Source organism: Homo sapiens, chromosome 16 (assembly GCF_000001405.40).
Source record: "Homo sapiens chromosome 16, GRCh38.p14 Primary Assembly".
In the NCBI taxonomy this organism is placed as follows: Eukaryota; Metazoa; Chordata; class Mammalia; order Primates; family Hominidae; genus Homo; species Homo sapiens.
In genome coordinates, this window is record NC_000016.10 from 76,297,918 (window position 1) to 76,310,861 (window position 12,944).

The window sequence follows — 12,944 nt, forward strand, 5'->3', positions numbered from 1 at the left end:
TTTCCTCATCTACTCTTTATGTCAAACATATTATTTTTTTTTCTTATCACCCGTAATCAGAAACCTGAAGAGACCCTTCTGTTTTTCTGCTATCTTCACCCGTCTCTTCACATAGTCACAAATTACTGTGGCTGCCTCTTTAGTGTCCCTACATCTTCCCCATCTCTTTTGTTCTACTGCCACAGTCTTTCAAACTACACAGCTGAGCACACATTTTTAATGTTTTATTAATTACTGTGCTAGGGTCTTATACAGGGTGCCATAAAGACAAAGAGGACACTTAAGTCCAAGGAGGTTAGCCGGTAGGTCTTCATCTGGAGGCCATTCCAAGCTGATAATCTCAGTGAACCTGAATAGAACTGTGTGTTTAATCAAAATGTAACAGTCAAGTTTAACTAAAATGCAATAAGCAAAATGTAATTTTCCTGGAGCAGCCATATGAAAGGTTGATTGGGTGGGAGAAAGTAGAATTGAAAATGAGTTTAGAATTAACAGTCTAGCTTTTATGAATGGCAATTAGATTCTTTGGATTACCCCATTCATTGTGTGTGCACATGTGTGTACATGTATGTGTGTGTGTGTGTGTGTGTGTGTGTGTGTGTGTGTGTGTGTGAGGTAAGGGGCTGTGCTGAGAAGCAGCCAGAGTCTCAGTTCTAGGGTCCACCCAAGCGGAAGAATTCATTAGAATCTGAAATGAAAGCAGAAAGCCAACAAGTGGAGTAAACACACCCTTAAAGTAATGGGGTGGCTGCAGCCATATAGAGCTCTCCAAGGGCTCAGTTGCCTGCAGGGATGCTGGCCAACTGGACTGCTGATCCTCTCCTAGACCACATTCTTATCAAGGGGCACATTTCCTGAGACATTCAGTCTCTTTCTTTTTAAGCCATGGAGTGGAGCCAAACAATATGTGGGTGGTGGACGTTTAATACCAATAGTGAGTTGGGTGGGGGCAGGTAGGGCAGAAATGATTCAAGTGTGGTTTGTATTAAATCAGTTCCTCTTTAATGATTGTGACTTGATGTTCTCTAGAACCTGGTAGGGACTTCTAACTTCATTAGTTACAACGTCTTATTAATTCAAGATGGATTAAAGACTTAAATGTTAGATCTAAAACCATAAAAACCCTAGAAGAAAACCTAGGCAGTACTACTATTCAGGACATAGGCATGGGCAAGGACTTCATGTCTAAAACACCAAAAGCAATGGCAACAAAAGCCAGAATTGACAAATGGGATCTAATTAAACTAAAGAGCTTCTGCACAGCAAAAGAAACTACCATCAGAGTGAACAGGCAACATACAGAATGGGAGAAAATTTTTGCAACCTACTCATCTGACAAAGGGCTAATATCCAGAATCTATAATGAGCTCAAACAAATTTACAAGAAAAAAACAACCCCATCAACAAATGGGCGAAGGATATGAATAGACACTTCACAAAAGAAGACATTTATGCAGCCGACAGACACATGAAAAAATGCTCATCATCACTGGCCATCAGAGAAATGCAAATCAAAACCACAATGAGATACCATCTCACACCAGTTAGAATGGCGATCATTAAAAAGTCAGGAAACAACAGGTGCTGGAGAGGATGTGGAGAAACAGGAACACTTTTACACTGTTGGTGGGACTGTAAACTAGTTCAACCATTGTGGAAGTCAGTGTGGCGATTCCTCAGGGATCTAGAACTAGAAATACCATTTGACCTAGCCATCCCATTACTGGATATATACCCAAAGGATTATAAATCATGCTGCTATAAAGACACACGCACAGGTATGTTTATTGTGGCACTATTCACAGTAGCAAAGACTTGGAACCAGGCCAAATGTCCAACAATGATAGACTGGATTAAGAAAATGTGGCACATATACACCACAGAATACTATGCAGCCATAAAAAATGATAAGTTCATGTCCTTTGTAGGGACATGGATGAAGCTGGAAACCATCATTATCAGCAAACTATCACAAGGACAAAAAACCAAACACCTCATGTTCTCACTCATAGGTGGGATTTGAACAACGAGAACACATGGACACAGGAAGGGGAACATTGCACACTGGGGCCTGTTGTGGGGTGGGGGAGTGGGGAGGGATAGCATTAGGAGATATGCCTAATGTTAAATGATGAGTTAATGGGTGCAGCACACCAACACGGCGCATGTATACATATGTAACAAACCTGCACGTTGTGCACATCTACCCTAAAACTTAAAAGTATAATAATAATAAAAAAAGAAGTTAAGGCAACTTTTTGCAGGTGACATCTGGAATATCACTGATGTACTTTTAAAGAATATCACTTTTAAAGAGAACACATTCCATTGTTGCTTATAAGCAGATATCTTGCCTATCCCACATCATGTCCACATAGCACAATGTCCTCAAATACTTGCTGAAATAGCTAGTTCAAGCAATAAAATGGGAGAGCTGTGCTGTTGGACACAGGGAGGGGAACATCACACACCAGGGCCTGTCGGGGTTGGGGTCTAGGGGAGAGATAGCATTAGGAGAAATACCTAATGTAGATGATGGGTTGATAGGTGCACAAACCACCATGGCACGTGTATACCTATGCAACAAACCTGCACGTTTTGCACATGTATCCCAGAACTTAAAGTATAATCAAAAATTATAAATTAAAAACAAAGATGTTGAATGGCAAATAAATGAGACCAATGTCATCAGCAAGAAATTAAAATTCTCTGACCTTCAATTTTTCATATAGAAAATAAATAGAATATCTTTCTCACAAAGTTGTAGTAAAGATTTAACGTGGTTGAGATATAGCATGCAATACATGTAACTATAATTAACATTTTTCTCTAGAGGGCTCCAGTCAAAACATTGGCACGTTGGCAAGCATCAATTTATTTTATTCATGTCTTCATCGATAAACATGAAATCAATTTGCAGTACATTAGACACTATGACATATGTTAGGGAAGTACCTGGATGTCAAGGAAGGGGTATCTTTTATTTTATTTATTTATTTTATTTTTTTCACTTTCCTTTTTTTTAAATTATTATTATACTTTAAGTTTTAGGGTACTTTTATAAAAGAGTGCCTAGGTGATGAACAAGTACATACTTGGTCAGTTTAACAGTATTTTATAGGAACTAACATGGAAATTATAACTTACAGACATGAAAACAAAGAAAAACTATACCATAGTCTTCATAATTCCAGGAAATTGTGGGTAAGAGTAGTGTATAAAAAATTAACACACACAAAAAGAGCATTTTTGAATGAGACTGTTGATCTTTGTCTTTTACTATGGGAATGATCAATTTTTAAGCAGCTGTCTTGAAAAACAAAATGACAAATGGTGGCTACTTGTAAAGCCATCATCATATTAATAGCTCCAAGGGTTACTTTCAACTGATGATTTTAAGTTCTAAAATCCAAAAACAAAAATTTAAACATAATTTTTTTAAAAACTGTGTTTGAGGCCAAAAGTGGTTCATGGTGGGATATGCAAATGAATTGAATTGAAACAGGTGTTTTCTATTTTAAAATAATTTATGATCTAATTCAAGGCATGGTACATAACATCTAAGATAATATTAACGATTAATATAGTGGTATTTGCAAACAGTATGTGAACTCATGTATACTGAAAGACCTGGAAGTACATGAGTTACCAGTACTTGGTTTAGTAATGAAGAAATGTTATCAGGACTTTGGGAGGGTTACAGTTTTTACTGGCGTGGTCCAGGTCTGTTCTGCTTACACGGGGTAAATCAGTCACTGTGACAAAGGTTTTGCAAAAGAGGAAAGATTTATTGGCAAGGTCTCCAAGTGAGGAGGTGGGAGAACAGCTCTCAAATCCGCCTCCCTGAAGATGAGGCTTAGGGATGTTTATGGGTTAAGGAAGTGGCATGATCTAAGGCATGGGGAAGGTGATTGGCAGTGGGGAAAAATGAAGTGACAGGTTGGTTTTGCACAGGAATAATCAGAGTTCATGGCATTTCGTAGGACATATGTACAGAAAACAGTGGCATTAGCATGATCTGAGGGTGGAGTTTTGGCTCTCTGACATCAAAAAGCCACCTCTCGGGCACTTGCACAGGCCCAGTTGAAAGGCCAGTGGTCTCTACTGGTTTGAACTGAACAGCAGCTGGCCCAAGTTTCTGAGAAACAACCGAAGCGACCATTACCATGGTGACTTAGGAATGATATCCACCTATAAGTAGCCAGGGAAGGTACAATTTCAGCTTCAGTGGCGAGGCCTTCAGCTACCATGGACTTCAGCTTCATAGAAAAAGGAAAAATAAAAAACAAAAAACAGAAAGTGACAAAAAGCAAGCAGGGCAAGTAGATCTGACAAAATTAACCCTTCACTTCACAATAGTTTTGAAAAGAGCTGAAGGACCTAGAAATATGAAGGATCAATCCTATGATCTCATCTAAGGCTTGGGATTCTCTCCAAGCTCACGTTAATTAGCAGAATTTCCTTGGAGCTGAACCTCCGTTTATGGGCTTGCTGTCAATCCAGGGCCATTTTCGGGTCCTAGAGGCTGTCCATCGTTTCTTGACAGGTGACCCTTTCTATAACACGGTGATTTTCTCCCTCCAGGCCTGTAAGATAAATTTCACCCATGCTTCTTATCTCTTTCACTTTTTGTGTCTCTGACCTTTAGACCTTTTGAAGGTCTCCCCTGATTAGGTCAACCCACTCAGGATAATACCCTTTTTAGGTAATTAAATTAAGGACCTCAATTAATTAATTACATCTGCAAGATTAGTTTTGCTATATAACATAACATAAGCACAGGACTGATACCCCGTCATATTCACAAATTCTGCCTGCACTCGAGGGGAGGGGATTATCCTAGGCCTATACAAGTGGCTGAAATCTTGAAGACCATCTTAGAATTCTGTCCACTGAGGGGCTCACACACCACACACCTGACTATCTCTCCAGAAGGGAGGGCTCTATGCCACGATGCTGCATGTTGTTTAGGGAGATCAGGAGCTGGAAACATTTGAGTGTCCTTGTAATAGTGATGGGTCCCTGGTAGGGGGTGTAGTCTTGTTGGAAAGAGTCCAGAGCTTAGAATGGTTATCAGTTCTTCTGTACTGAGCTAATGCACACCTACTCTGCCAGCTTTTAGCCAAGCTTCTAAAACAGTGGAAATGAACCTCTGAGACCAGCCAAACTTTTTCCTTGCTTGATTATGAAATCAAACACAATAATCTTAGCTAATGAAATGGAAATATTCTCCATCTAATCTCATGTTATTGCTCAGAGAAGCTTATTGTTTCTAGTTGGCTTGATTTTTTTTCCCTTAGTGAGAAATAGCTATTTATTAAACTAGCTTTATGCACTCCCCTATTAAAACCCATTTATCTGCAGGAAAATTCCTTATCACTAGGAAACATTTCAGCCTTCATCTTTAAGTGTGATACTTTGAGATACAAATAACAACTCTTAAAATAATTTAGTAATAAAATGGAACATTTGTTCAGTGATGTTGAAATATCACCTAATATGACTAGAATAAGAATTGAATTGAGACTTACTCAATTTTCCCTCCAGGAATCAAAGTCAAAACCATGGCAATTTCAGGTTGAAAATATCAGTAATGGAAGTAGCACATACTTAGGAGGACATTGTTGCTGTGACTTCATGGACATGTGGTTTAGTTGGCACAGTGTGAATTTCTAACTGTATCATCAAAGGTGTCCAAATAAAGAGATGCCCATGTTCTCTGAATTCCTTTCTCTCTTTCTTAATAAATTGTGGCTGTTTGATTTCTGCATCATGTGCAGTTTAAAATTCTGCTTTTCTGGAGAAAATGAAACAAACAGCTCTGAAGCTGAAGAGATGTAAAGAAAACTATGGTCTTTTGGAACATCAAAAATTATTTCATAATGAGAAAACAATGCATCGTAAGAACAGTTTTACTTTCTTTTTAAGTAATTCAGTAAAATCCCCTTTTTTTTTAAGAGGGAAGGATAGCCATGTGGTTACGAATGTTGAATGCTGATTTCTCTCTTTCTCTTTGAGGAATAATTCTTATAAGATTTTGTAAGACATATCTACAAAACTTTTATTCAGTTCACTTTTATTCAGTTCACTTTTATTCAGTTCCAACTTTGGAATTTATAATAAACACTTAAAGCAGCAATCATAAACACTTACATAGTACTTTTTATACACCAGGTACCAACTACTCTTTATCTGCTGACTCATTTAATTCTCAGAAATCCATGTTTTGTTTAGTATGTACCATCATTATCCTCATTTCGAGATAGGAAAGGCGATTTAAATAAAATGCCTAAGATCATGTAGTACTTAGCAGAGGCAGAACTTGAACCCACAGAGGAGGCTTCAAGAGCTACACTTGTAATCACTATGCTGCACAATATTCTGGCTTCAGTGCAAGGCGACAGGTAACCTGATATTGATCTTCCAGTCACTTAACATCTCAGCAAGCAGAGACCCAGACCACCACAGAAGTGCCATAATAGAAGCCTGTTCAAGTTAAGGAAGAATTTCCCGGTAGGATGGGAGGGTTGAGGGCTCTCAAGAGGTGTCAGAGAAAAGGGGGCACTATGGCTGAGCCTGGAGCATCCCCAAGGGCTCAAAAAGGAGGGAAGAACATTTCTCAGCTTTGTGCATTGAAGGGAGGATTGGGATAATCTTCCAAGTGACTTTGGGAGGGATCCAGTTTTGTGTAACTCAAAATAAAATTATACATGTGGACTCCATTGTTAAATGGCTCTCTCAGAATGTGAGGTCTCATCACTAAAGCAATATATGTGTGTCGCCACATCCGCCTTCAAAACTGCTTTTGACCAATCAGTGGGCAATATTTTGAGGCACAAAATCTGAAAAAATTAATTGTTTGGTTCTGCAATTACAGTTTGGCAACAGTGGTAGGCAGAAATGTGGTCCCCCGAGGATGTCCATATCTTAATCCCTAAAATCATTCAGTTTGTAACCTTTAAGATAGACTTTTTTACTCAATCTCATTTCTTGGGAATCCATCCAAATTGTACATCAGTAGTCTGTTCACTTTTATTGCAGAGTAGTATTTGGTGATATGTATGTAGCACAGTTTGTTTAATCACTCACCTGTTGAAGTGAGGTTGGACTGCTATGAACATTTGTGTACAGGTTTTTGTGTGAACATAAGTTTTTATTTTTCTGGAATAAATGCCTAAATGAAATTGCTGGGATATATGTAAATTGCACGTTTAGTTTTACAAGAAATTGCTAAATTGCTTTCCTCTAAATTTGTGAATTGATTTTCATGTATTTGAGAAAAGTGATCATATAGTTATTTCAATTTTCTCTATGTCTGTGACAATTTCCTGGTTTAATTCTCATTTTGTATACTTATACTTTCTCCATAAGAATAGGTAGTGGGATTTTTTGGTTATAATTTATTGTCTTTTTTGTTTTGAAGAACTAGATCGTAGATTGATTGATTTTGTTGTTATTGCATTTTCTAACTGATTAGCTGGCATTTTTTTTAAAACCAATTCCTTCCTTGTGCTTTCCTGATGTTTATTTCATTGTTTTTTCTAAGTTGAGTGCTACGTAATTTATTTTCATTGCCCGTTTTTAATAAAGAAATTATCTAAGGCTTTTGAATTTAAGGCTCTAAATTCCCCATCCTTAATTTAGCTATTACTGAGAACTGGGGCCGACCTGACCATGGGAAGTGGGTTTACTTGGCTTAGCAGTGGGGAAGGAACTGAGGGTGTCCAGAGCCTGGCAGTCTGGCAAGACCCATCATTCGTTTTTGTTGTTGTTTTAATTCAGCTTTTATTTAGATACAGGGGGTACATGTGTAGATTTGCTACATGGGTATATTGCACCCAGGTAGTGAGACTAGCACCCAACAGGTAGTTTTTCAACACATGGTCCCCTCCCTTTCTCCCCACTCAAGTAGTCTGCAGTGTCAGCTGTTCCCATGTTTATGTCCATGTGTGCTCAATGTTTAGCTCTCACTTATAAGTGAGAATATGTGATAACTGCTTTTCTCTTCCTGCATTAATTTACTTAAGCTTATGGCTTCCAGCTTCATCTGTGTTGCTGTGAAGGAGATGATTTTATTCTAGTTTTTGGCTGCATAATATTCCATGGTATATATGTATCACAGTTTCTTTATCCAGTCCACCACTGGTGGGCACCTCGATTGATTCCACATCTTTGCTATTCTGAACAGTATGGTGATGAATATATGAATGTATGTGTCTTTTTGGTATAAAGGTCTAGTTGTCCTTTGCATGTATACCCAGTAATGAGATTGCTGGATCAAATAGCTCCGTTTTAAGTTCTTTGAGAAATATCTAAACTGCTTTCTACAGTGGCTGAACCCATCCTTCTTAATAAGGTTATAGACTTTCATTTCGAAGCAGTTAGTTGGTTTTGATATTTTTCTGAAGATCTGTCTTTTCTCATTGTTTTCCACTGCGTATCAACAGTGGGCCCTTAACATCCAGTGGCAAATATGCCCTTTCCCGACTCCCCAATCTCTACAAAAACAAACAAAATCCCACGTGAATGCAATAAAACATGATTGGCTCCTACACTCTGAAACTGTGAATATTTAGTTGGACCAGTTATAGAAAGCAAAATGTTGAAAGCAAAAAGTGAAAAATCTAACTGGTGCTCAAGTCAGAGGATTTGAACGTGAGATGTCACAGGCAGGAGTCAAGATGATTCGCATACGTCCAGTGACAGGTACAGTGCTTGATACGAAGATTTTGTTTCCACAATTCCAAATCAATTTATCACACTGACTAATTTTCGAGGTGGTGCATTAAAGACAGGCATATGAAAAATCCTTGATGAGAACACACTTTTCTTTGCTTAATGGTATTGGGAGGTATAAGAAGAAGGGATGGATTATTTTAAGTACCTACTCTGTACTTTTTAAATGTTATGTATGGTATAACATGAAGTTCTTGCAGTTCTGTTGTGAAGGGGATATTTTCATCTGCACTTTATAGGCAGAGGTACATCAAGTTGAAGCAGTATGTATCAGACCTCGGGAAGTACCAGAGCAAGAATTTGAGGACTGGCCTCTCTGAATCCAGACCCCATGTTTTCACAATGCTTAAATAGGTCACTAACAAAGAGACAAATGTTTGATTACAATAGATGGTTAAGCACACAGCCATAGCCTAACAATAACAAAAGTACTTCATTGAATAACACAAAAAGCATGAGCAAAATTAAAGATGAACATAAAAACAGAAAAAGCAACTGAAACAAATATGTTTGGCCAACAATGTATATAATATCGTAATTAATTTAAATTATGTTTCTAAGTGGAAAAACAGAGGATAATGACAGACAATTTGCAGGTATTGAGAATGGATAACAACATATGGAAAACATTGTTTGACTGCATTAATCAAAGCAACGATATAAATACACAACTACTACAATTTGTTCACTTAGTAAATCAGCAAACCTTGCTGAGGTGTGTGTGATGAAATGGAGACTAAATTGATATTATCATTGTGGAAAAAATGGAAATATGTTTCAGCATCTTTGGATATATTTTTTAAAATTAACTTTTGATCCTCTAATTCTCCTAGATATCTATTTTAAATGCATATATATATATATATATATATATATATATATATATACCAAACTCCAGAAATGCTTACCCCATAAAGATGTTCTTTTCACTATTCCTGATATCAAATTAGGTGACATGGCGTCACATATGGCCAAATTATCTGTCAATAAAAGTCTGTAATGTGTGCAGATTTCTAGATCTCTGATGCTCTCTTTACTTTCTAAAAAATTATTATTTCTTCTACCCCTTCACCTTTGATTGGTCTCTTTGTCTTAATATCTGGACTTTAAATAGTTGCTATTAAACCTCTAAAATCAATCAGCCCCTGGCTGTTCTGTCATTAGAAGTTAACTGCCTTCCCATTAATCCATTAATTGTGAAGATTAATTGGAAAAGCTATTCAAACTCAGGCTATAACTTGGAGCATGTAAGCCAGTGTTTGCCTCCAAATGAAAGCTTAGGTCAATAACATCACAGAGAATTAACAGTTATATATAAATTCTACTCATGTCTCCTATAAGAGAAAATGCATAGAAATTTATAGGCTGCTGTCTAAATGAATTACTTGACAATTAGAAAATTATCCCTGTCTTAGTAGTTTAGCTCTAGGAAAACATACTGATAGTTACTTGTTTTAAATTGCAGGAACATTTTTTTTTTAGATTTAAGCCAATGACTGACAGAATTAGAAGCTCATGTTTGTGTTATTTCAAATATCTAAAACCAGGATTCTCAAGTAAATGTTAATTTTCATGTCAATGTCAAATTAATACTTAAAGAAGCTAAAGAACTGCATAGTAGTCTACACTCGTGGCATTTAATCGAGTTGAAATATCATTTTAGGTAATGATGAGAGGATGAGAGACGATGCCAGGATTGGCTCATATTTCATCACCTATGCTTAGAAAAATTATATTTTATTCAATCCTAGGTGTATTGTCAGTTTTCCCTAAACTTATTCTCTTTCTCATCAGAATGTGACAGTGCAGCAGCTTCCTCCACACACCGTCAGGCACCATGGCTACTACATAGGGAGAGAGGGGTGGGGTGTCACACCACAAAAGTTCCTTCAGTCCTTCGGGCTGTGTTCCTTCACAGTCCCGTGAAACAGTATGGAAAGCATAAGGACATTATGAAAGGAACAATGCTCATCACTGGACAGAAATTAATTTGCAGCTCTATTTTAGTGGTTTCCAGACTAGCATGGTTCTGGCTGTGGGACACAATCATGGGAAATTTGACATCTCCCCGAGGTGATGCTACCAGGCAGTTAGGATGAATCACTGAAGATGCACACTACAGAGATGCGACAACCCTGCAACCTGGAGCTAAGCCATAGAATTTTATTTTTATTTTTAATTTTATTTTAGAGATGGGGTCTTGCTCTGTTGTCCAGGCTGGTGTGCAGTGGTGCGATCATAGCTCAGGGCAGCCTCGAACTCCTGGGCTCAAGAGACCCTCCTGCCTCAGCCGTCTGAGTAGCTAGGATTCCAGGCTAATTTTTTTTTTTTTTTAAAGAGATGGGGCTTGACATCTTGCTTAGGCTGATCTTGAACTCCTGGCCTCAAGAGATCTTCCCACCTTGGCCTTGAAAGTGCTGGGATTACAAGCATGAGCGAGCACACCTGGCCTATAATACTTTTTACCAGGTGGCTGATGCTGCTTTTTAAACATACTTGTGTCTTCTGGGTGCTTAAAATGGACTTTGGTGGCTCTTTTTTGGTGTTGAGTGTAGACTGTACAGCTGCAGCTGTGAGGATGAGATGGCAGAGCTGGGGGAAAGCTCCAGGGTATGGAGATAAATGATGCCCACCCAAAGGAAATCAAGCAGAGGCTGTTTATTTAGAGTTTGCTGCAGCAAGGTGGTTGGCCACCACCATTTGAGTTTGGCAGAGACTCAAAGGCAGGCAGAGGAGAGGAAACTTTACACTGGAGTAAAGGGGCAGGCTCAGGTATGCCCTGGTTGGAGGCCTTGGCTAGGGGAGGCTGTAGGCAGGCTGACCAGAAGTGGGGCATCCTATGGGATTAGTTAGAGGTATACATTTGGCTTTCTCTATACTTAGTAAAATTTCTAAATATTTCCTAAACATATTCAGCTGGTTCTAAATTGGAAACATGGGCAAAAATGAGGGAAGCTGTAAGTTATTAAGTCCTGGCTATTTGGGGCTGATAGGATTTGGCTGTGTCCCCATTCAAATCTCAACTTGAATTGTATCTCCCAGAATTCCCACGTGTTGTGACAGGGACCCAGGTGGAGGTAATTGAATTGGGGTTTGGGCGGAGGGGGTGGTCCGGGCTTTCCCGTGCTATTCTCGTGATAGTGAGTAAGTGTCATGAGATCTGATGGGTTGCTCAGGGGTTTCCGCTTTTGCTGCTTCCTCATTTTCTCTTGCAGCCGCCATGATTCTGAGGCCTTCCCAGCTATGTGGAACTGTGAGTCCGGTTAAGTCTCTTTTTCTTCCCCGTCTCGGGTATGTCTTTATCAGCAGCATGGAAACGGACTAAAACAGGGGCCAGTTGCTACAGGAGTTATTATTTGGCTTCTTGCACTGGTTGCTTCAGACAGAAGTCTGGCTTCCTGGACTGGCTCCTGTAGATAGTAGTTTGGCTTCCTGGGCTAGTTGCTACAGGTTCTGTTTTTTGCATGCAGACTGGCCATTTGCCATTTGTGTATTCAGTCTCTCGTTGGGCAGGAAACAGAGGTACATCAGGTACTGGGTTGTGTGTCATGGTAGGGCGAGGAGACAAGACGCCACCTGGGATCCTGAAATGAACCTGAAATTTGTAGCAGTAGCCCAGACTGGGTTTATGGTTACAGTACAATGTCATTGTCAAAATTTCTGAATGAAATCTTGACTAACAAGTAATATTTTTTGATATATGCAAACATAATTCCATACTTTCTTAAATATGTTGATGATTTCTAATTTTAACTGGATGGAAATTGTAATATAGATTGGAATAAAATGTTTTGTTCAGGAAAATAGATGTCTTGAAGGGAAGGCCATTCCTTAATCCTGTATCTGTCAATGGACTATTTGGAATAGGTCTAAATAAACTATTTTCTGATGGGAACGAGACTCCAATCTTTCCAAAGCTTCCTGTCAAAGGTCTCACCCTGCCTCTGGTGTATGAGGATTTTTGATGATTTAAACTATGTTTGCTACCTATTCTATTTATTCTAGTCTGTTCTGTAATGGATATTTTTATGGGACATACGATTCATTAGCAGGCATGCAACTAATTTTGGCATGTCTTCCAAATAACTGAGAAGATGACTACTCAGTGGCAACTAAGCTGAATACTGCTGAAAATCAGCCCTATTTTTTTTTTTTGAAAAGTATATTTTAGGTCACCAGTGCTTGTTTCAACAAAGTACTGGTTCAGA

The 12,944-nt window shown here is 38.5% G+C and overlaps 1 protein-coding gene across 16 annotated transcripts in view; it reads left to right on the plus strand.

Annotated features, from left to right (window-relative positions):
• Nucleotides 1–12,944, plus strand: part of CNTNAP4 (contactin associated protein family member 4) — a 283,357-nt gene that overhangs the window by 20,517 nt on the left and 249,896 nt on the right. For 2 of the 16 annotated variants that reach the window (XM_011523403.3, NM_138994.5), the window contains exon 1: nucleotides 11,935–11,989. The exons of the other annotated variants lie outside the window; for them this stretch is intronic. In XM_011523403.3, coding sequence (XP_011521705.1) covers nucleotides 11,980–11,989 — 10 coding nt within the window. In that variant the 5' untranslated portion in view covers nucleotides 11,935–11,979. Of the gene's footprint in view, nucleotides 1–11,934; nucleotides 11,990–12,944 lie in introns of those variants that run through there. 16 annotated transcript variants of the gene reach the window in all.